The sequence below is a fragment of the Homo sapiens genome, chromosome 1 (assembly GCF_000001405.40).
Source record: "Homo sapiens chromosome 1, GRCh38.p14 Primary Assembly".
Taxonomy (NCBI): Eukaryota; Metazoa; Chordata; class Mammalia; order Primates; family Hominidae; genus Homo; species Homo sapiens.
In genome coordinates, this window is record NC_000001.11 from 148185382 (window position 1) to 148210605 (window position 25224).

General features: G+C 40.8%; 1 long non-coding RNA gene and 1 pseudogene across 1 annotated transcript in view; one reads left to right on the forward strand and one right to left on the reverse strand.

Moving 5' to 3' along the window:
* Window positions 8335-8457, forward strand: RNA5SP57 (RNA, 5S ribosomal pseudogene 57; annotated as a pseudogene).
* The window catches only part of LOC101927468 (uncharacterized), a 38979-nt gene continuing 36466 nt past the window's right edge, over window positions 22712-25224 (reverse strand). The window contains exon 5 of the long non-coding RNA NR_120331.1: window positions 22712-23273. This is a non-coding gene — a long non-coding RNA (uncharacterized LOC101927468). The remainder of the gene's footprint in view (window positions 23274-25224) is intronic.

Sequence of the window (25224 nt, forward strand, 5' to 3'; positions counted from 1 at the left end):
AGAGTGAAATTACAGAAAAATTAGTAGGTAGTGCAAAGGAGAAAAACAGAAACCAGAAACAGGTTTGGAAACCAGTGGAGAAAGGATGGTGTTGAGTCAACTGTTTGTTTGTTTTTTCTTCAAAACAAAACAAAAAACTTAGAACGGTTCTCTTATATCAAATAATTTCTGGATGTCAAAAGTTATACTTTTAAAATAAAACCATAGAATCTAAAGGAAAATATAGGTGAAAATCTATTTATTGGGTTGGAAAGACTTCCTAAACACAAAATCAAGATGGAATAAGTCACGAAGGAAAATAAGAATAGATTTAACTGCATAAAAATAAAAATCTGTATATCCCAAAAGTCATTATAATGATATTCAATAACTACAATAAAATATTATTTAAAAAATAACAGACATATTCAACTATAGAAAACAACATCAGGTAGAGTTTACAAGTCAAGCTACAATTGGTGCAAAAAAGTTTGTGTGTTATTTATGATGTAGAATAGATGAAGGGCGATAGACTGAAGTGGCTAGGAACATGGGAGCAAATCCCAGCTCCCTTACTTGCGAGGGGCTTTCATCATGCCTCAGTTCCATCATCTGTAAAATGATAACAATAATACTATGACCTCACAGGGTTGTTGGGGGAATTATATGAGAAAATGCAGCTTGACCCAGAATAAATACTAAATAAATGTTAGCAATAGTAACATTAGTTGAGGTATAGGGCTATAACTATTAATCGTTACATTTTTTTTCTCTTGACTCACTATCTCCCCTCATCTAAATTAGGAGCAAGTTGAGAAACAACTGCAGGAATCCAGCTGATGAACATCTATCTATAATCCTAAAGGTTGGCCGGGCGTGGTGGCTCACGCCTGTGATCCTAGCACTTTGGGAGGCCTAGGCAGGTGGATCACCTGAGGTCCAGAGTTCGAGACCAGCCTGGCCAACATGGAGAAACCCCGCCTCTACTAAAAATACAAAATTAGCTGGGCGTGGTGGCGCATGCCTGTAATCCCAGCTGCTCCGGAGGCTGAGGCAGGAGAATGGCTTGAGCCTGGGAGTTAGAGGTTGTGGTGAGCCGAGATAGCGCCATTGCACTCCACCCTGGGCAACAAGAGTAAGACTCCGTCTCAAAAAAAGAAAAGAAAAAAAATAAATCCTAAAGGTTGACTAAACTGCATTAGAGAAGCAGCTCAACCTGTGGCTACAAGCCTACCACTTTTCCTTCAGAATTAAACACTTCCATCCCCAACTGCATGTCTGCCCTACTTAGATGCCTGAAATTCTACTAACAGAGTTAGTAGAATTTAAAGAGTTCTTCCTTTAAATTAAGGCACTGCAATTGGAAAAGTCTAGTGTAAAGTATGAATAGCGCTAGAGGCATACTACCTTTCATCACTTTCAGCTATAGCATTGCAATATTGATTAATTTGTTATATTTTGTATCTAATTATATTGCTGGTTAAATCCTGAGTCTCAATGGAATGTGACACAGGACAAATAGATTTGATAGAAGAAGGAAGTATTAGGATATGTTCTAAAGGCTTAAATCATTTTCAAAAAAGCTACACATTAATTAATTTGATTAACTAACTAGAAAAATATGCCCACACTGATTCTGATGGAAACATAAGTGATGGTGCTGATTCAAGTCCTGCTGGCCACTCACCAGCTACACGTCCTCATGCATGTCAGCCTCCCAAAGCTCTCTTTCTCTCCTGTTCTGGGAGGACAATCGTGCAGTATGTTGGTGGAGATTCCTTCAAGGACAAATCATGACACAAGGATTGAGAACACGCTTGGGCAGAAATCCCAGAGAGCAATGAGAGGGAATGGTAAGTGAGACAGGAGGGACAGGAGACAAACCAATAAAGTGGCTGCCATGAGGTTACCACTAGGCCACTGCTGTCAATCTTTTTGAAGACCCTCTGGGAGACCTGGGAACCTACCCCAGAATTGTCCCACCATGGGGAATAGGAAGTCAAGAAATTTTCCCAGAAATTCCTACCCCTCAAAGGTTGAGGATTACTCCTGGACTGAGCACCTCTAGCTTAGCCCTCAATTTACCATCTTCTCAGGAGGCGAGGGCACCCTCTCAGGCAAAGGGACACAGCTGTCATGCCATCTGGCCTGCATGAGACCTCCTGGAGTAGGCAAGGAGACAGAGAGGGCACCAAAGGTATTCACTGCATGTACAGCCACTTCTTATAGCTGTTGAGCTCACACAGTGATGGAGAAAAATATGAATACAATGTGCAACATAATGTTAGGCACACAATGAAGGGCCAATAAATGGTAATTGTGGTGGTGAATGCTGCTATATTTTTTAAAATCAAGGCAGGCCTAGGTTTAGTGTCATAGCGAAGGAGCCAGGCACCATAGCCAGAAGCCCCTGGGTAGGTCTGGGAAGTCCTAGGAATTGGGAAAGGTGAAAATAGTACAGGTATGGGGCTGTAAAAGGCAAACTTCATGTCCTGCAGTGTTCTGCCTGTGGCTGGTCCTGAGGAGCACTGGTGGGTCAGTTTGGCCAGACCTCCAAAGAGAGCCACAGGAAAAAAAGAAGGCTAGAGGTCCTCATGACCCACCTCCCAAGATACAAGCAGACACTTGAAGTGGAAAATCCCTGCCACTCTGTAGGACAAGAACTACGTGGCCAAAAAGGGAAGCTGCAATAAATAGTTCTGGTTTAACCTGGGATGCATCACAGCTTCTCCAAAGTTTTGCTTTGACTTTAGGCCCAATTCAACCAACATGAAACACCCACAAATTAACTCCCAGGAAAAACATGGCTCTTTGAGAAAAGAACTGACACTTAGTAAGCAGCTGAGCCTGTCAGTCCAGGTTGCAGGATGGAGCGAGTGAGCTCTCGGCGGGTACAGTGGCTTGCACTAGCTGAATTCATTACTATTCCCTTTGTGCAGCCTTGTGCTTTGACCACTCGCATATATGGAATAGGACTTACAAAAGAAAACTGTTTTGTTTGGCAGGTGGGAAATCATTTCAATTGAGATATTTTTTCTGTTTACTCAAGTAAATATAAAGATGCTTTGATTTTCCACAAAGAAAGAGTTGTTATCCCTATTTGAATTTATGTTGCTTCAAAAACAAACATCTTACTTTTAGTATCAGAAGCAGACCATTCTGTTCCTTAGGGAAGTGATATTCTTTAGTAGACTGGTGGGAGACTTGTAGAATATTAAAAGGATAAGACAAATTCCAGAATAAATAACAGGGAAAATTTATTTTCTGAACTCTAATAACTATGATCTGTTCCTACAGTAGAATGGGCATTCAATAACTGGAACATGAAGGATTGGCCTACAGGGAAAGCCCAGGGTGGTCTGGGACCTCCCTGAACCTCCAGCAGATCTCATGAGACTGTCTTTAATTATCCTTTTCTCTCTCTCTCTCCCTCTCTCAGGCCTACAATGAACACTGTGTGGGGAAAAGAAAGAGAGATCAGACTGTTACTGTGTCTATGTAGAAAGAAGTAGACATAAGAGACTCCATTTTGTTCTGTACTAAGAAAAATTCTTCTGCCTTGAGATGCTGTTAATCTGTAACCCTGGCCCCAACCCTGTGCTCACAGAGACATGTGCTGTGTTGACTCAAGGTTTAATGGATTTAGGGCTATGCAGGATGTGCTTTGTTAAAAAAGTGTTGAAGGCAGTATGCTTGTTAAAAGTCATCACTATTCTCTAATCTCAAGTACCCAGGGACACAATACACTGCAGAAGGCTGCAGGGATCTCTGTCTAGGAAAGCCAGGTATTGTCCAAGGTTTCTCCCCATGTGATAGCCTGAGATATGGCCTCGTGGGAAGGGAAAGACCTGGGAAGGGAAAGACCTGACCGTCACCCAGCCCGACACCCGTAAAGGGTCTGTGCTGAGGAGGATTAGTGAAAGAGGAAGGCCTCTTTGCAGTTAAAATAAGAGGAAGGCATCTGTCTCCTGCTCGTCCCTGGGCAATGATGTCTCGGCGTAAAACCGACTGTATGTTCTATTTACTGAGATAGGAGAAAACTGCCTTAGGGCTGGAGGTGAGCCGTGCTAGCAGCAATATTGCTCTTTAATGCACCAAGGTGTTTCTATACATGCACATCAAGGCACAGCACCTTTCCTTAAACTTATTTATGACACAGAGATCTTTGTTCACATGTTTCCTGCTGACCCTCTCCCCACTATTGCCCTATTGTCCTGCCACATCCTCCTCTCCGAGATGGTAGAGATAATGATCAATAAATACTGAGGGAACTCAGAGACCAGTGCCTGCCGGTCCTCCGTAAACTGTAAGCTGAGTGCCTCCGTAAGCTGAGCGCCAGTCCCCTAGGCCCACTTTTCTTTCTCTATTCTTTGTCTCTGTGTCTCTTTCTCTTCTCAGTCTCTCATCCTACCTGATGAGAAACACCCACAGGTGTGGAGGGGCAGGCCATCCCTTCACTGGACAGAACCAATGTACTTCTTACATATATTGATTGATTGATGTCACATGTCTCCCTAAAATGCAGAAAACCAAGCTGTGCCCCAACCACCTCGTGTACATGTCATCAGGACTTCCTGAGGCTGTGTCACAGGTGCACATCCTCAATCTTGGCAAAATAAACTTTCTAAATTAACTGAGACTTGTCTCAAATTTGGGGAGTTCATAGTCCTAAAGTCATTATCTTATTTAATGGAAAAGCATTAGGGATGTTTCTACTAACATCAGAAGCAAGAGATAAATATCTATTATCTCTGCTGCTGTTAGAGATATTAGCCAGTGCAATTAGATAAGAGAAATCAGTGAAAGGCATAAGAGTGACTAAATGAGTGGTAAAACTATATTTGCAGATGATATAATAATATATGTGGAAAATCCCAGAGAATCAATAATAAAACTAACTCAAACAATAAAATAATTTACTGAAGAACACGGATATAAAATTAACATAAAAATCAATAGCCTTCATACAAACAAACAGGGGACATAATGGTAGAGAAAACACCATTTAAATAGCATCAAAATATATGTATTTATGAATAAATATAAGTATTTATGAATAAATTTAATGAGTTATGAAAACCTATGCATGGAAAATGTCAAAACACTCCTAACAGACAGTAATAAAAACTTGAATAAAAGGAAAGACATTCCCAGGTTCTTGGATAGAATTATAGCTTTATGAAAATACCACTTCCCCCTAAGTTAATTTATAAATGTAATACAATTCCATCAAAATATGAACAGGCTATTTTCTGGAGTTAGAGATTTTGATACTAAAGTTCATATAAAAAAAAAGATGGGTAGGAATGAGGTAGAAAGACACTGAAAAAGAAAAGCTGTAGTGATTAGGCTTACCAGAAATTAAAACATTTGATAAAGCCTGGATAATTAAAACAGAGTGGTACTGGAGCACAGAGAAATAAAGAAGCCAGTGGAAGAGAATAGTCCAGAATTAGACCAAAATACATATGGAAATTTAGTATATGATGAAAGTGGCATCTCAAATCACTAGGGTAAAACATACCATATAGCAGTATAAACTCCAAGTGGATTAGTGATGTAAATATAAAAACTAAAACCACATAGTATAGAAAATAAATGGCTACATTATTATTTAGCCTTGGTAAGAAAAAGCCTTTCTAACTATGATTTAAAATCCAGGGGCAATTTTTTAAAAGATTAATAAATTTGACTGCATTTTTTTGTGTGATGAAAACCACCATAAACAAAATCAAAGAACAACTAACATATTGAGAGAAAATATTTGTAACATACACTAGAGAAAAAGGGCTAATATTCCTTATACATTAAAAAACCTTAAAAATTGAAGGACAAAATCCTGAGATGAAAATGAGGAAAAGGCATAAACAAATAATTCATTTGAAAAAAAAAGGAAAAGTTTCAAAATGGCTTTTAAATATGCAGAAAATGCTTAAACTCACTGATAATTAAGGAAATCCCCTTCTCATTTATTGAATTGGCAAAAATAAAACAAATATGAGAATACATTCTGTTGATAAGGCTTGTTGGTGAAGCTATGGGGAAATGGGCACTTTCCCTCTTAGAAATGCAAATTGGTACAACACTTTTGGAGGGATATTAGGCAATATCTAACCAAAGTGCACATACATTTCCCTTTTCACCTAGCAATCCCACTTCTAGGGTATGTATCTCTGACAATACAAAAATGTATATGAATAAACTTGCAATTATCATTTATAATTGCAAAACACTGGAAACAACTTAAATGCCCATACACAGAAGAGTGCTTGAATAAGCTGGAACAATAACATGGAGTACTATACAAACGTATAAAAGAGTGAGGAAAGTCTCTAGAGTGGATATGGGGTGCTTTCCATGACATATTAAGTAAGGGAAAAACAACAACAAAACCCAAACCCAAAAGATGTGATTTTGAGTTATGTGATTCCTTGTGTAAGAAATCAGATATAAGAAAACACACAGGTATCTGATCCTTTATGGAAAAAAAAAATCAAGAACAATAAACAGGATTTGAATAAACTCAAAGTATCTACCTCAAAACACTTATCAGCTACAAAGAGAAATACAATAACTGTATAGTTGTAACCACCCAATGGGTTCTTCCAGCCTGCTCCCCAGAGAGAGCCAATTTATCAAGACAGGGCAATTGCAATAGAGAAAGTTTTACACATATAGAACTGGCTAAACAGGAGACTAGAGTTTTATTATTACGCAAATCAACCGCCCTGAAAATTTGGAGACTATGGTTTTTTAAAGATAGTTTAGGAAAGGGGGGTGGCTAGGGAATGGGTGCTGCTGATTGATTGGGGGTGCAATCATAGGGGTGTGGAAAATGGTCTTCATGAGCTGCTAAGTCCACTTCTGGGTGGAGCCGCAGGACCAGTTTGTGGGTCTGGGTGGAGCCATCCATTTTCAGAAACGCAAAAATCTGAAAAGGCATCTCAAAAGGCCAATCTTAAGTTCTACAACAGTCATGTTATCTGCAGGAACAACTGGGAAGTTGCAAATCTTGTGACCTCTGGAATAATGGTTGGTAATTATTTATATCTACATGTTAACAGAATTCAGGTTCCTCTCATCCTCCTAACCTGGTGATCTTTCATCAGCTTTACACAAAGGTGGTTTAGTTTTGAGGAACAGATACAATCTTTTAAACTATAAACTAAATTTCTCCCAAAGTTAACTTGGCATAAGCCCAGAAATGAGTAAGGCATTTTGGAGGTTAAAAGCAAGATGGGGGTTGGTTAGATCAGATCCCTTTCACTGTCATAATTTTCTCACTGTTATAGTTTTTGCAAAGGTGGTTTCATAATGGAGAAAACAGCAGACACTAACCTAATGGAGTGCTCAAAATAAATAACACCATTAATAAGGCATATATCAGCATCATGAATCCCTTGGCATGATGTGCTGAAAAGGGATACAGTATCATTTCTGCGGTATTCTTGCCAAAATGGCATGACTTCACTCTAATCATGACAAAACATTAGACAAACCTAAAGTGAAGGACATTCTACCAAATTACTAATCAGTGTATTTATAGGTAGACAGGCATAAGCAGGGCAGGAGTGGGCTTTTCCCCCACCCACTAAAAATGTCAGGTGATGGTTTGGCAGTTATCACATTGCCTCTCTAAAAGTGATAAATTGGCAGCCAGCACCAGGGAGAGGCCTTTTCCTGATGGTCCACACCTGTTGCACTAAAGAGTGAACTGAGTATAGGTGCCAGGGAAACACAACTTCCTAGACATGCGTATTAGGAGATAAAATGGCAGGGTATGACCTTCCAAGGGCACGCCATGAGAAAAGGGAAGAAAGCCTCTAATGGGCATGCATACAACTTCCTAAACACAGTGCACATGCTCATCTCCCAAGGGTAAGGAGGGCTCTGTGCATGAGGGCAGCCTACTTTAAGGGAAGAATCATGGGAAAGAGGCCAGCCTATAAAGTCTTAGGATCAAGGTTAAACACTACTCTTGACCTTCACATGCCCACTTGGGTCTCTTCCAAGCATACTTTCCTTTCTTTCCTGTTCTAAAGCCTTTTTAAATAAACTCCCACTCCTACTCTGAAAGTTGCCTTGATCTCTTTTTCTGCCTTATGCCCCTCAGTCAAATTCTTTCTTCTGAGGGGGCAAGAACTGAGGTTGCTGCAGACCTGTATGGATTTGCCACCAGTAACTCGGATACCTTCCACTGGTAAAAATCAGTATCCTTCAAAGAGTGCCAAAGTTATGAAGGATAAGGAAAGACTAGGGAACTGTCACAGATTGGAGTCAACTAGGGAGAAATACAACTCAATACAATGCGGGGTCCCGGATAGGCTCCTGAGGCAGAAAAATGATATTTGGGTCTATGGCCATACCACCCTGAATGCACCCAATCTTGTCTGATCTTAGAAGCTAAGCAGGGTTAGGCCTGTTAGTACTTGGATGGGAGAAAAATGATATTTGCAGGAAAACTGGTAAAGATCAGATGAAGTCTGTAGCTTAGTTAATAATATTGTACCAATGTCAATTTCCTATTCTTGATAATTAAAATGATGAGAGAGATTCAACATAAGTGGAAGCAGGGTAAGGGATTAAAGGAACACTTTCTAGTGTTTTTGCAATTTCTTAAAGTCTAAAATTCATTCAAAATAAAATAATGCTTTAAAACCAAAAATAAATAAATGAAATGGGTCTCTTCTATTAAGGGTTTTCTAGAAACCTCCATCTTTCCACCACTCTCCTATAAAAGTTTTAAAACATTTTCAAAAGCCACTTATCACTATTCTTAGACTGCCAGTGATCAAAAGGGCAGCCTCGCGGGTTGCAAATTAGTGAAGAAGAGAAAGCTAGAAGGAAGAGGAAGTGGAGCATCTGAGGGAAAGATTTTTAAATGAACTTCTTTGTGTTGCTAAATTTATTCGTATCCTGGAATGGGCTACAACCATCACAAGGACATAAAAATCATCAGGTAAATTCAAGGACTTTTTAAAAATGCATCTAATCACCTCCTGTCCAAAACATTCAAGCTTAACCTTTCTCTTGAAAATGCAATCTGCTCTTTACACCCTGCCTGCATACCAGATTCTGAGACCTAGATTGCCACAGGAGCAGAACCATCACCTTGTCCTGATTCAATAGGTTCTTGTTGTTACATTATCAGCTTAAGATCCTGGGGTATGTGGAGATGTGCCTATTCATTACTGAAAGAGTTCATGCACAATTTATGTCCTTCACATAACTTTGTCCTTAAAGGCTATTTTCTGAATCCATTTCAGTTATGTTTTCCCAACAGCCATATTAGGAGGTGACTGTTGTTTTTCCATATTCAAAGTAAAAGAAATGAGACAAATATCTCAAAATGATTGAGGTGCTCACAATAAAAATGTAGTGGTAAAGATAGTACCAGATCTCGTGTCTGTAGCTTCTGTGCCCTCTTTCATAGTCCAGAGGACTGAGCTACTCTAGCAAATGGGTATATGAGAACTGGTGACCACAGTTAATCCAGCTGACATGACACCAGCCATTACATTCAAGTGCAGTGATGTATTTTGCATTGCTCAGCTCTTTCTACTTTTCAAAGTCCTCTTCACATATTTCATTGAATTTGATTCTCAAACCACATTGTAATGTAAGTAGAATAGCTATTTCCTTTTAGTAATCGTAACATCATGCCATTCAATATATAAATAAAGCCCCTTTATTAACATTACCTTATCTAGGTCCCACTAAAAGAAAAAATATAAAGTAGTAGTGTCCCCATTTTCTAGATAACTGAGGCTCAAAGATTGACTGGTCCGAAGACACCCAGGCAATGAAGGGGAAGATGGAATGTAAGAGCAAGTCTTTTTGACTCATTATCCAGTCATATTTCCCCCACTGTGCAATAGCTGCATAGCAAAATGAAGAAAAATTACAAGTTTCTGACTATGAGTCCAAAAATGAGTTAACATGTGATTTTATGCTAGAAGATAATCTAATGAGGTCACTCTGCTTAGCTGCTTAGCTACCGCTGTTATCCCAATGGGACTGGGCAAGAATAGAACCAAGTCATGCAAGTAAGAGTAGCACCTGATTGGGCACTGGGCTTGGATTCAGGTTGTTATCTCTATGGATAGCTGTGGTTCACTGAGGAACCATTCCAAAGATGTTAGAAGAGCCAGACAGAACCTACATTAATTCATTGGTTAAAGCTCAGAAATAATCATGAGGTCTCTGAGACAGGAGACAATTAGACATAGGATGGCTCCTATTATACACAAAATTTCATTGAGTCAGCTCTCTCCGCTTTACTTCTTGCCCTAGTATATCTTAAATATGTGGTTTTCCCCTTGCCTAATCCAGGAGAGCTGGATTTCATAACTAACAAGACTTTAGACTTGTGCTTCACCTTTCAGCATGCTTCTGGGTTCCATGATGTCCCAGAGCCTATGTGCTTATGATTAAAAAAAAAAAAAGAAACTGAAGAGGGACCCCAGTCTGCAGGAGTGAGATGGGCATGGGAAGAATTACATTTTCTCTGGTTCCTGGGTATGCTGAAGATGACATCCAGGAGAAAACTTCTGGCCCCTCAAACTGCCCCATAGCTCAGCCTGCGGGCTGCGACTTACAGTGACATCAGCAACATGATGGATTCCATCGCCAGCAGCCTGGACTCCAGGAGGCACCCCAGGCGTGGCCGATGTGCACAGGTAGGAGCATGTCCTCTGCGTGGCCTCTGCACTGGAAGAGCTTCAAGGCCTTTTCCTCCAGGGCTGAGGGGATTTGTGTTTCGCCTCTGTTTGTTTTTGTGTACTTCTGTTTGGCGAAACTTTCAAGCACGCAGAGCAACGTTCTGATAGATAGTGCAGAGAGGAGCTGCGCAGCATCCTGGAGCCGAAAGTTACAAGGAAGAGACCAAAACCGGTAAAGTCACGGATGTTGTGGCCCGAACCTGTAAATCCAAACAATCTCACAGTTATGAAATGGAAAATTTGTGGGGAAAAACAAATGCTTTGGTTATTACAGTGTTACTACATTCATAAAATGTATTTCATTTGGGGGAGTTTACACTGGGGGTAATGAGATTTTTGCTTTATGCGTTATTTATAACCGCTTAATCCAGGTACTGTGGGTTTTTTTAATTCCTTCATTTTCACAGCTACAAAACACTTCAGCATTTCTAATTTATTTCTGCTTACAATACAGATGTTCTTAGTTGTGTTTCTAACTATATTTCAACCGTTACGATCACGTTTGTTTGTGTCAGCGCGCAAGCCGGGGTTGTATGTGCAATACACAATAGTAAGGCTTCAAGAAGCCTGTAAAAAGGCCTCTTGTGCTTTCATTATCAACAAATTAAAATATGCTGCATGGCACTATCTTTATCATCAGTGGTTTTAATCTTTGGATAATTCCCCTGCAGTTGGGTAGGCAGAGTGACAGCCCTCTCTCAGTGTAGAAAGACTGCATGCCTTAAAATGGCACTTTTCAAGATGACCATTTGGAAGCAACATTTGGAGAACACTTGGGTTATGTCCTCTAACTGAATTTCCAAGCTGTTGGTAACGGACTAAAGAAAATGTAGTCTGTACTGAATATTAAGGAAGCAAGAGTGTAAGAGCCTTGAAGGTCATGTGTAAATATTGACATTTTATTTTATTTAGTAACCAAATTGGGGCCCTTGCATTGCTTATCTTGCCATAAAAACTCCTCACTCACTTTCACTGCCCTGCAGATTGTCAGGGAAAGATCTGATCTGAGCAGCTCTGGGTGCTCTTCCTGCCATTGCTAACAAGACTGAATTTTGTTTGTGCAAAATCTGAGTCAGAGGGGTGTTCCTCCCCTCTCATCTCCACCACGGACTGATGCACCTGATTAGATAACAGAAATTTGTGGGCTGAATGTTCATGTAGTGACATGAAAGCCAAGATGCAAAAACAGTCAGAGAAAACAGCCTCCCACTCACTCAGAGTCAAGTCAGGTGTCTAAAACCAAAGTTATCTGGGGAACCAATAACTGGCTAATTTGGCCAGAATACCCTTCTCTGTGTCCTCAGCAGCAGTGTGAGGAAGAAATACCAGCATGTCCTCAGGCCCTGTACCCTTCTCAGAAACCAGGACTCTACCTGCAGAGCTTAATCAGGGCCATATTCTGAAGGTGAGATGCAGGCAATGGCCAGGTCTCTCCACCAGCAGCAGTGGCTAGAATGCCCCACACACTTAACAACTTCCGGGACACATTTGACTGTTGACCTACAACAGCATTGCTTTCCTCTGCCAAAGCAAAGAGCTCTGCTCATGTAGAATAGGCTGGCAGTTTGGTAACTTGCCAGAGGCTCCTGTCTCCCTACAGTGAGGTCACCAGAATCGCTTCCCTCCTGAAACACAGTCGATTGAAATGAAGGTCCAGCAGAAATTAGGGGCCAGTGAGTTAAACATGGAGGCCACTTCCAATGGTCTTTAGCCTAAGAGGTTTTCTCCAAGTGAAAAGAAGAAAATTGAATATGGGAATAAAATGATCTTTTAATGCTTCATAACTCAACTCTCTGACTTACCTCAAAAAGAGAGAAATAGTGTAAAAAGCCAACACTGTTTTCTGCCCTCTAAATTTGAGTTTTGAAAGGTGCTCCTCAAATATTAATGATCTGGTTTCTGTGCCCAAATAAATGTCATGATTTACAACTCATGCTTATGGTTGCAATCCTAATCACCCTTCCCTACGGCAGCTTTATAAGTCTTGCCCAGTTCCACTACTGAAATAGTGCACTTGGATTCAAACAACACTCAAAAACCTTGTTTTTTGTTTTGTTTCATTTTTAACTATTACTGAGTGGACAGGGTCAATCCCATTCAAAATTCCCAAGTAGACAAAATCTGTCTGTGGCCCCTCCCCTTCCCCTCACCTTCTTGGCCGCCTCCCTCCATTCCCACTGATGAACTTCCAAGCTTCCTACAGCTCCACTAGTCCTTTTCAACCAATGGAAAACAAAGCAGTTTCCTACATTAGTGTATCTGCCTTCATAAAGTAGTTTAGTGTTTTGCACAAACCAAGAGAATGTTCATTTTAAAAGCAGGAAAGAAAGATTACAGATGGAATGTCAGACACCAGGGCACCTGGATAAAATATAATTTGGGGCAGGGGAGTATATTCTCATCTTACCTAAAGTAGACGAACCAGTCAAGTCAGTACCCATAAGGTAGGCTTGATAAATCTCAGGACCAGGCACCTCCACCCCCAACAAACACACACACACCTTTCCACTGTGATGTTTTAGGCACAGTGTATTGTAGCTCTGCCTATCTACTCAGAACCTAATGTATTCACATGAAAGTAAACTAACAGAGTCTGGCTGTCCTGGTGATTCTCAAGACCCTATTGCCTCCTCACTTACCCAAAAGGAAAGGAGCAGTAGTTTTGTTTTTTTTTTTTTTAATTCAAGAAATCAGCAAAAAAAAAAAAAATGTGTTAGTGTTTCTCCAAAACTTCTAAGTTAGAGTGGCACAATTCATTTTTTTTAATAAAGAATTTGATTAACTCTGGTTGGCCCAGATTTGCTTCAGCCTAAAGCCCAACATCTCTTTTGCAGCGTGGTATCCTTCAGTTGCTCATACTTGAGCCAATAGAGGTGGGAGGGGAGATGGAGAAGACTGGTTTTATTTGAGCTTGTGAAAATGGCTTTTTATCAAGTTCAATGTCATAAGTTTTCTTCCACAGGAAAGTAGAATATATTTTCTGGTGAGCAATAGTTTTTTATTATATAGAAATGGTTCCTAATTCTTAGCAGACAGGGATTTGAGAAAACAGGGGAGTTCTCCGAAGTCACAACAAATAATGTGATGGTCAACGTGATAGACTATTGTACGCTTTGATAGCTAGTTTCAGACTGATTTTCTGACACATGAGAGAGGAGCAGTGCCTGTTGCCCATGGAAGGCGATTTGCTGGGAGGAGGAACACAAACATCCCCAAAGGCTACCAGGTCAACTGTCATTTTCAAAATTACCATTAAAAGTAGGCTGGTGGGCCGGGCACGGTGGCTCATGCCAGTAATTCCAGCACTTTGGGAAGCCGAGGCGGTCGTATTACAAGGTCAGGAGTTCGAGACCAGCCTGGCCAACATGGTGAAACCCCATCTCTACTCGAAATACAAAAGTTAGCCAGATGTGGTGGCTGGTGCCTGTGGTCCCAGCTACTCAGGAGGCTGAGGCAGGAGAATTGTTTGAGCCCAGGAAACAGAGGTAGCAGTGAGCCAAGATTGTGCCATTGCACTCCAGCCTGGGCGACAGAGTGAGACTCCGTCTCAAAACAAAAAACAAACAAACAACAACAACAAAAAAAAACAAAAAAAAACCCACAATAATTAGCTGAGTGTGGTGGTAGGTGCCTGTAGACCCAGTTAACTGGGGGTTGACGCAGGAGAATCGCTTGAACCCGGGAGGCTGCAGTAAACTGAGATGAAGCCACTGCGCTCCAGCCTGGGCTGCAGAGCAAGACTCTATCTCAAAAAAAAAAAAAAAAAAAAAAGTAGGCTGGGCATGGTGGCTCATGCCTATAATCCTAGCATTTTGGGAGGCTAAGGTGGGAGGATCACCTGAGGTCAGGAGTTTGAGACCAGCCTGGGCAACATAGTAAGACCCTGTCACTACAAAAAATAAGAAACAATTACCTAAGCATGGTGGTGTATGCCAGTAGTCCAGAAATTCAAGATTACAGTGTGCTATGGCACCACTACACTCCATCCTGAGCAACAGACAAAGACCTTGTCTCTGAAAAAAAAGAAAAGAAAAAAATTATTATTAAAAGTAATAAGAATAGAAAACATAGGCTGTGTATGCTAGATTAACAAAACATTCCCCCTACAAAAGGGGGAAATTTCAATTTTCTATGAAGTTTGAAATCTATAATCATCTGGCATTATTTCCAGGCATGTAGAAAAAAATTCATTTGTCTTTTCATCTGGATTAGTTTGTCTCCATCAGTGTGTACATCAAAAGTACCTGGGGATTCTGTGGGTTTGGGGAACATTTTTTTGTTTGCTTGTTTGTTTGTTTTCAAAATATATGGTAGTATCCCACCACAAATCTATACTAAAATAAAATTTCGCAGTGTATGTCAAATAAATGTGCACTTTGAAAAATTCCCCAAGTAAATTTTGAGATTGGCTCTTGATTCAGTGACACTAATATAAACACTTTCACTTACTTTTGAATTTTGTGGTGACCGATCTTAAGATTTGAAGCCTACACCTTCTTAACTTGGTCCATGGGGGCACAAAAGGAGAGAGAGTATAAATGCTGAGGATGACCTTAACAAAAGTGAACACGAAATTAAGAGATGTGAACCCAAAATAAAAGAAAGCAAAGAACTCTGTCTTCCCTTGTCATCTTTAACTCTGCTCTATCTTGATTCTTCTCTGTGTTTTTCACAGGCTCTTCTTCCTATACCCACTCTGTAAAGTGATTTACCCCATAGCTCTCCACCCCTTTCACCTTGGATCTCTGGTCAGATAATCTCACCTTCCTCTGTGGCTTCAAAGCCATATACATTTGACTTCTGAATTCATCTGCTAGGGCAGCCATAACAAAGTACCACAGACTGACTTGGGTGGCTTAAACAACAGAAATGTATTTTCTCACAGCTTTGGAGGCTGAAAGTCCAAGAGAAGGTATTTGTGGCTTTGGTTTCTTCTGGGGCCTCTCTCCCTGGCTTGTAGATGGCTGTCTTTAGCCTGTGTCCTTACAGGACCTTTCCTCTGTGCTGGCACTTCTGGTGTCTCTTCCCCTTCTTACAAGGACATCAGTTCTGTAGAATTATGGGCCACCCTAATAACTCCATTTTAACTTATTACCTCTTAAAGACCCTAATATGGTTTGGCTCTGTTTCCCCATCCAAATCTCATGTTGAATTGTAATTCCCAGTGTTGAAGGAGGGGCCTGGTAGGAGGTGATTGAATCACGGGGGGGCGGACTTCCACCTTCCCGTTCTTGTGATAGAGTTCTCACCAGATCTGGTTGTTTGAAAGTGTGTAGCACCTCCCACTTTGCTCTCGCTCTGTTCTGCTGGCCATGAGAAAATGTACCTGTTTCCCCTTTGCCTTCCGCCATGATTTTAAGTTTCCTAAGGCCTCCTCAGCCCTGCTTCTGGTACAACCTGCAGAATGGTGAGTCGATTAAACATCTTTTCTTCATAAATTACCCAGTCTCAGGTATGTCTTTATAGCAGTGTGAGAAGGGACTAATACAGAAAATTTGTACCAAATAGTGAGGCATTGCTATAATGAAACCTGAAAATGTGGAAGCAGCTTTGGAACTGAGTAATGTACAAAGGTTGGAGCAGTTTGGAGGGTTCAGAAGAAGATAGGAAGATGAGGGAAGGTTTGGAACTTCCTAGAGACTTGTTGAATGATTTTGACAAAAATGCTGACAGTAATATGGACAGAGATAGCCAAGCTGGTCTCAGATGGAGATGAGGGACTTACTGGGAACTGAAGTAAAGGTCACTCTTGCTATACTTTAGTAAAGAGACTAGTGGCATTGTGGCCCTGTGCTAGAGATCTGTGGAACTTTGAACTTGAAAGAGATTATTTAGGGTATCTGGCAAAAGAAATTTCTAAGCAGCAAAGCATTCATGATGTGGCCTGGCTGCATCTAACAGCATAAACTAATATGCATGCACAAGGAGATAATTTGATACTGGAAATTACACTTAAAAGGGAAGCAGAGCATAAAAGTTTGGAAAATTTATACCCTGGCCATGTGGTAGAAAAGAAAAACCCATTTTCTGGGGAGAAATTTAAGCCAGCTGCAGAAATTTGCATAAGTAAAGAGGAGCCACATGCTAATAGCAATAGCCAAGACCATGGGGAAATGCCTCCGAGGCATTTCAGAGATGCCTCGGAGGCATTTCCGAGACCTTTGCAGCCGCCCCTCCCATCACAGGTCTGGAAGCATAGGAGGGTTATATGGTTTCATGGGTCAGGCCCAGGGCCCTGCTACTCTGCGCAGCCTCAGGACATGGTTCCCTGCATCCCGGCTGCTCCAGCTCTAGCCATGGTTCAAAGGGCCCCAGATATGTCTTAGGCTGCTGCTCCAGAGGGTGAAAGTTGCAAGCCTCATGGCTTCCATGTAGTGTTAAGCCTGTGGGTACACAGAGGGCAAGAGTTGAGGCTTGGGAGCCTCCACCTAGATTTCAGAAGATGTATGGAAATGCCTGAATGTCCAGGCAGAAGACTGCTGTAGGGGCAGAGCCTTCAGGGAGAACCTCTACTGGTGCAGTATGGAGGGGAAATATGGTCTTGGAACCTCCACACAAAGTTCCCACTTGGGAATTGCCTAATGGAGCTTTGAAGAGAGGGCCACCATCCTCCAGACTCAGAATGGTAAATCCACCAACAACTTTAAGCTCCATTATTTTGGAGCTTTAAGACTTAATGACTGCCTTGCTGGGTTTCCGACTTGCATAGGGCCTGTATCCTCTATATTTTGGAATGGGAGCATTTACCCAATGCCTGTACCCCCCATTGTATCTGGGAAGTAACTAACTTGTTTTTGATTTTACAGGCTCATATTTGGAAGGGACTTAACCTTGTCTCAGAAGAAAATTTGGACATGGACTTTTGAGTTAATGCTGGAATGAATTAAGACTTTGGGGAACTGTTGGGAAGGCATAATTGTGTTTTGAAATGTAAGAAGGACATGAGATTTGGGAGGGGCTGGGGCAGAATAAAATGGTTTGGCTGTGTGTTCCCACCCAAATCTCATGTCTAACTGTAATTCCTAGAGTTGGGGGAGGGGCCTGGTGGGAGGTGACTGAATCCTGGGGGTTGACTTTCCCCTTGCTGTTCTCCTGATAGAGTTCTCGCAAGGTCTGGTTGTTAGAAAGTGTGTAGCGCCTCCCCCTTTGCTCTCTCTCTCTTTCCTGCCAGCCATGTGAAGATGTGTCTGCTTCTTCACCTTCCACCATGATTGTAAGTTTTCTAAAGCCTCCCCAGCCATGTTTCCTGTACAGCCTGCAGAACTGTGAATCAATTAAACCTCTTTTCTTCATATATTATCCAGCCTCAGGTATGTCTTTATAGCAGTGTGAAAACAAACTAATGCAGACCCTGTTCCCAAATACAGTCACATTCTGAGGCACTGGGGGCTGGGAATTCAACATATGAATCTGGAGAGACATGGTTCAGAACATAACAACTTCCAGTTATATAACTTCAATGCTACGTGATGACTGGCTCATATATTTGAAAAACTTTCACATGAAAAAGGGACAAGACAAGGACCAATGTGTGGAAGGTAAAAGCTGAAATTTTCAGCTGAACAAAAGGAAGGCCTATGTGATAATGAGGGGGGTCTAGTTATTACAGGCTGCATTCCCTGATAGTGTGTCCCTGCCACAGGAAGGGCACAGCAGAGGCTGAGTGGACCACTATCGTGCCTGTCTTTGGGGAAATCCAGCATAAGCCTCCAAAATCCCTTTTCCTCTTTTAATTTGATGACATTAATGAAGGAATATGAGCTCACAGGGATTAAATCAAGATGATTAAAACAAAGAAGTAGAAAATATGATCACACGTCTACAGTGTGTCTACAAACACGGCATAATCAGATATGAGAAAAAGGAGTTTTGTGAAATGTTAGAGTCACACCCTCCCTGACGTGAGCAATACAGTGGCCAGCAAGGCAGGAGAGGATGTGCTCTGTATCAAGAATGTGAGGCCTACGGTAAAGCTGACCGGTACAGGTGGAGCAAGACCAACTAAGAAGCATCTTTCCCTGGAGAAAACTGTCACTCATCAAGAGGATGTCCATGGCAATCTAAGTGGAGATTTTCCCAAAGGGACTACAAATGTCAGAACCCAGGTGATCTGACATCAATGAATCTTCCTGAAAGCCCCTTGGGATGTCATCTGATGACATGAGTTAGCATTGGTGGACTAGGGTTGGAAGATCTGACTTGAGAGCCAATTTCTCTGTGTACACTAGTCAGCTGACCTAAGGTGTGTCATTGCCTTCTCTGAGTCTCAAGCTCCTCATCTGTAAAATAGAAAGAATATGGCCTTACCCTGACAGCATATTGTAAAAATTGATGAGATATGATTTAACTATAAATGTGCTATGAATTTAACCATGCAGTTTAATTTATGTAACTGTGAATTGTAGACTCTTATTTAAACATGTGGTATTAATATTATTGTCATGTTTTCATTTTGCCCAATGTGATGGTCAATACCGTGTGCTATAAATGTAAGTGAGCTCCTCATTAGATGCAGCATGAAAGATTCTGAGGGATGCCCTTTGATAATTTGATTCGCTCAAAAAGATACAGACTTCCTAGTCACAATGGGGAAAGTAATCCAGTGGAGGTATTCATATTCCAAAATACCACTGGGAGATACAGAGGAATAAAAAATTAAGAAATTCCATACATCAGAAGGACAAGAGCTCTTGAGGTTCTTTCAGTGGACAGTGGTTTTAGACTTCACTGTGCATTAGTTCTGTCCAAGATGCTTATTACAGATGAAGGCTCTCCTTCACTAGAAGCCCTCCCCATCACTACTCTTGATTGCATGGTTCAGTAGGACAATACTTTGAAAAACATTTCCCTGGTGAGTGAATTCAAACCCTCAGAAGAGGGATTCCATGCTTCATACAACACTATGGAGGCTTTGAAGTGTTTACCATACTTGGGTTCTATTGGCAATATCCAGGGGTGACTTGGAGTTTCCTTAAGGTTCCTCTCAAAAATTTCCATTTACTTAACTCCGAGATATGTCAAAATAAGCATTCAAGCTAAGTAAAAAATTGGTGCTTGTTAGACAAAGCCGCTTCAAGACAATGCCCTTGATCCTTCCTCCTCTCCAGGGTGCCACCCTAAACCCCTCTACCTAGAAATTTTGGATTTGCCAATTGCCCAGAAGGATGAAAGCCTCACAGTGCAATCATTGTCAAGTCCTGCTGAGCTGTGTGGGAGCTGGCTTATGTGGAACTGCCTGAGCTTCTCAGGGGCCTCCTCCTGGCACATCGAGCTCAGATGAAATGGAAGGCCTCAAAGCCCCACTCACCCCACCCTACCCACCTTCATTTATACCAGTTCACAGAAGAATAAGGAAAACAGACAAATACCGTATCTGGAAGATATCTCCAAAGACCTAAAGCCCTAAATAGGAAACTGAGAAATTTGTGGGAACCTTTAGAATTTTGATCTCTTCATACACACTGCTAGTCACTGTTACTGAGAAAGTAGCAAGACCAGCTTTTTCCATTCATTGTCATCTGCTCTTGACATGCTGGACTCACCTGCTGTGTCTCCAGATCATGTGCATGGCTGCATGCAGTCTAGGGTTCTCCACCAACAGGCAGATCCACCTCAATAAAGGAAATTACTTGAATCAGTGAGGGACAACTAACATCAGGTGACATTTTAAGGTAAACTCTTTTATGGCTATACTATTTCTGTCTTTACTAAGTATACTTGTAATCTGATCAGTAGAGTATAAGTAGCCTGCTCTCTCATAATATTTTTGTAGAAATCAATACAGTGTAATCAAATTGGTGTCAATAGGTTAGATTCCTTATTTGTAATTATTGAGGGTTTTCATATCTTCATTGAAAGACTATTGGTTTACATCATGCCATTTGACTTTTGGTTCAAGTGCTTTCAAAGAAACTGATTTCTTAAAATGCATCCTTGCAAGCCTGACAGTCTAACAGTTGAAAATCTATGCAAGACCATAAGGCAGACTAAAGATGGGTGAGAAGGCAGGGATGGGGGTAACCAAGGACAGAGATACTAAGTATACAAATAGATGTTTTCCAGCCAAAGCTGGAGGAGCAAATGGAGCAACTGCTAATAAAAAGTGGGCATGTACATTTTGATTTCAATATTTAAAAGTAGCCCAGTGTTCCATTAAAAAAAATGCAGCCACTATTCAAGGAAAAAAATGTGTGTAATATGTATGTGTGTGTTACATTAAGAAAGGAGTTCCACTTCAATTTCTGGGCTTCATAAGCAATCATCCTTGTGATCTTTCGTTTGTGCAGTTTCATAGTCTACAAAACACTTTCACAAATATTACTTATTCATCCAACAAACATTTATTGAGTTCTTCCTCACCCCCAAGCATTGTGCCAGACACTGGAGATACAAATATCAAGAAATAATACTTACCTTCAAGAAGTCCACAGAAGCAATCTGCAATCTCTTACCCTCAACAAATTTAAGGAACAGAAATATCTTTGCAAAGAACAGAATGGGAAGATGATTTTTTAACTTACAATGCCCTGCTACAATCCAGATTTCCAAAACCCTAGGAATGATAAAGGAGAGAAAAAGATCATGAATTTCCCAATATTTTGAGAAAGCCATTATACTGCTTCTCATTCATTAGACTCCATTGCTAATCACTGGAGTTTCATACTGTTTAAGGAGGCATTCCTCCAATGCCTTTCTGAAAGTTTCTAGGGATGTCCTAATACCTACAGACATCTCCATTTGCCATACACCTGGACTGAAAGGGGATAGTATTCTCTCTCCTTAATTGTAATAGGTTAGGCATTCAATTGACAAATAAACCTTGAGTACATTAACTTAAAACATAATTGAGGATCAGCTATGATGTGTCATGCACTGATTGGAATTATAAGAGATGAGTAAGTCCATGCCCCTTGATCACAAGTAACCCAGAAAGGGAGAAATATTTACAAAAAGCTAGGTAAAATAAAATGTAAAGCAACTGCTCTCCAGTAGTGGGAAGGGCATGCCCTAGGGCAGACTTTTTCACCTAGCTAAACTTCCCAACCTCTGACTCCTGTCTTCGCCATGCTACACGTGGTAGGACGAGCATCCGAAACAGACAGCTGACATGCTTTAGGCACTGTGTTGTGTGCACTTAGATTCTTCAAAATTCTGGAATGGGAATATGTCCTCTCAGCCCATTAGGAAACAAGCCAGCCTAACTTCACTTTTTAAAAAAAATCTCATCAGATTCATCTTATTTTGATAGGAATATTGAGTTAGGTGACTAGAAAGATATAGGGAATCTTGACTTGAACAAGAATTCTGAGAAAGTCTCAAGATTTCTTGCTGGTCAAGCTGGAAAATAATTTGTACCAAATGATACCACACAAGATTAATTCATAATATTTAAATGACAGTGCCCTAAGGGTGCTGGTGAGCCTAGAGGAAAGTTTCTAAAGATATTTCTTTGCCTGTGCCCTTAGCTCTGTATTATCCAAATATGTTACACAACAATTCAGATGAAGGTATAGAAATCATGCACAATTAAAATGCCAATGAATGTTTAAAATCTTAGAATATGGCAAATAACTGGCACTGTGCTGGCTCATGATAAATATATGTTTGACTTTCTAAAATGAATGAATGAATGAATGAATGAATGGCTTATACAGATTTGAAAAGGAACTAACACTAAAGAAATCACATGTAATGGGATAAATTTAAGATCCTGCACTAGTATCCAAAACTAAATACTAAAGCACAACACACAAGAGGAGAGATTTTACTGAGAAGTTTAATTGGAGATAGTCATTCCCCATCCCTGAAAAAAAAAAAAAAAAGATACATAAACAAAACAACTCATATCCTACCTTTAGACTGCATTAATAGAAACATAATACCTAGAATGAAGGAGATGATAGTTTACTTTGCACTATCAGGTCACATCGGGGGTGTTTTGTTCAATTCTGGATGCTACACACTGAACTGACTTCAGGAAAAATAGAACAGTGAATAGGCTAAACAGCATGTGATGTGAGACATAATTTATTGTGTCTGATTATCATTATAATCATAAAAAGAACTAAGTGCCAAGTGCTTTACATGCATTTTCTCGTTTAGTTCTCACAACATTTTGCCTATGAGGCAAGTACTATTATTATCCCCATTTCACAAAAAGAAAATAAAGGCTGAGAGAGGCCAGGCAACTTGCCCAAAGTCAGAGAGGTGATGGGGGGTGGGCAGCCAGGAATCTCAACAAGGCTTCTCTTGTTCTAGAGCTAACACACATAGGAAGGGGAGATAGAGCCGGGTGCAGTGGCTCATGTCTGTAATCCCAGAGCTTTGAGAGACCAAGGCCGGAGGATCACTTGAGGCCAGGTGTTCAAGACCAGCCTGGGTGACATAGCAAGACCGCCATCTCTACAAAAAAATTAAAAATTAAAAATTAGCTGGGTGTGGTGGCACATGCCTGTAGTCCCAATTACTCAGGAGGCAGAGGTGGAAGGATTGCTTGAGCCCAGGTGTTTGAGGCTGCAGTGAGCTATAATTGTGCCACTGCACTCCAGCCTGGGTGACAGAATGAGACGTTGTCTGAAAAAAAAGAGGAGAAGACAAATATTAGAAAGACTACCACTTGGAAATAGGATTGGTGCATAGTCATACTGACTATAAAAGGGAGCACTAAAACCAAAGAATGGGAAAATTGGCCCGTTACGTGGAAAAATGTACAGTAATTCTTTTAGGTGTCTCACACAGATCCCTTCCCAGGCTTTTCAACCCCATTTCAAATCAAATTGACTATTTCCTTGAACAAGGGCAATTATATTAATTGCAAAGAGTTTTCTGTTTGCCATCTACCAAAGGTTACAGCTCAAACATTTAAGGTAGTGTCTTTCTGTTGGCCACATTTCTCTGTCTCTTTCTATTTCTGTTCCTATTAACTACTGCACGGATCTGAATAATGCAAATATTAAAGATGTTAGCTTTGACTTTACAAAATATATCAGCTATAGGTGCCCTTGAAAGCCAGGACTTGCTCCTTCCCTTGGTGCCACCTTGAAACCAGGATGGGAAATTTGCAGGTCACCCTAGGTTTTGAAAAGAAGCGATCCATTTCCAAGTTGCAATCTACTTGAAATAATCTCCCCAGTTACGTGGAAGTAATTTATTCCATATTTACTTTCTGCTTTGGATTATCAAATATCTCTTCCTCTTACCCCCGGGGGCAGCATTTGGGATTAAAAAACTTCTACTACCTGCCCTGCTGGGGCTGCATTATTTAACTCTTTCATGCCTATTTAAGAGCAGGCAAAATTTGCAGCAAATGATAACTGAAGTCCCTACTAGCCCTAAGATGTATTATTCTACGTTAACTTTATTTGTTTTAGATGTACTCTATTTCCAAAACTGTTTATTATTTTTAGCAACATTTTTTTAACAACACTGAGGCTGACCTATATAAAGTTAAGCAGCTGAAAGTAAAATATTTAAGTAACAAGTTGACCCATGCAATGCCAAACTAAAGAGTAGATGTATTGTTTATTCCAGGGTCAGACGAAGGTCAAGTGGTGCTAAACCTAGAGGTCCCCTCATTTGGGTCAAGTCTCACTTTCCACATGAATGGATTGCCACCAATGAAGGCAGCCAGGGGACTGTTTTGTTTCAAATTCCCTGTCCTGGGTGTAGCCCTCCAAATATCAGTGCTTGCTTGTTGAACTTCTTATGGAGAAGAAGAAAAGTCTTTTAAAAATAAATCTTGGACCCTCACATCTCAGAGCCATGGGCGAGCCTGACTTGCTTTTGTTTTTAATAATAGACTACCTTTTAGAGTTGTTTTAGGTTTACAGGAAAGTTAGGCAGAAAGTATGAAGAGTTCCCATATACCCTCTTCCTACCCTACCCCTACTCCCACAGTTTCCTCTATTATTAACATCTTGCATTGAACATGACTCTTTTTTTTTTTTTTTTTTTTTTTTGAGACAAGGTCTTGCTATGTTGCACAACCTGGACTTGAACTCCTGGGCTCGACTGATCCACCCACCACAGCCTACGGAGTAGCTGGGACTACAGGAGCACCCCGTCAGGCCCGACTGAGCATGACCTTTTGACAGAGTAGTCCAGGTTTGCTATTCTTAAGTTCCCTGACCTTAAGATGGCAAAGAATACTGTAAGGCCCATCCCTGTTCCAAATAGGACTCACTCAATCTGTAGACCTTAACCAGCTTCTAGGGCCAAGGCATTCCTCCTACTAAGAAGCCTTTGTCACAACAACAGGAACCTGACCCAGACGCAACCTCCCCTAAAAACAAGCCAGACAAGAGAGTGGGCAGGGAGCAGACAGCAGGAACAGGCTCTGGCGAGGGCCTGAGAACAGCAAGTTTCAACGAGGTACTTTTGAAGAGATTGTTGGCTACATTATCTTATTTAATTACCGTGGCATAATCCTTACATGGCTAAACTATTTATCAAAAACAAGGCTGTGCAACAATTCAGCAAATGTCACTGTGTTGTTATTGGTGAAAGTTGCTCCCACAAACTGCTC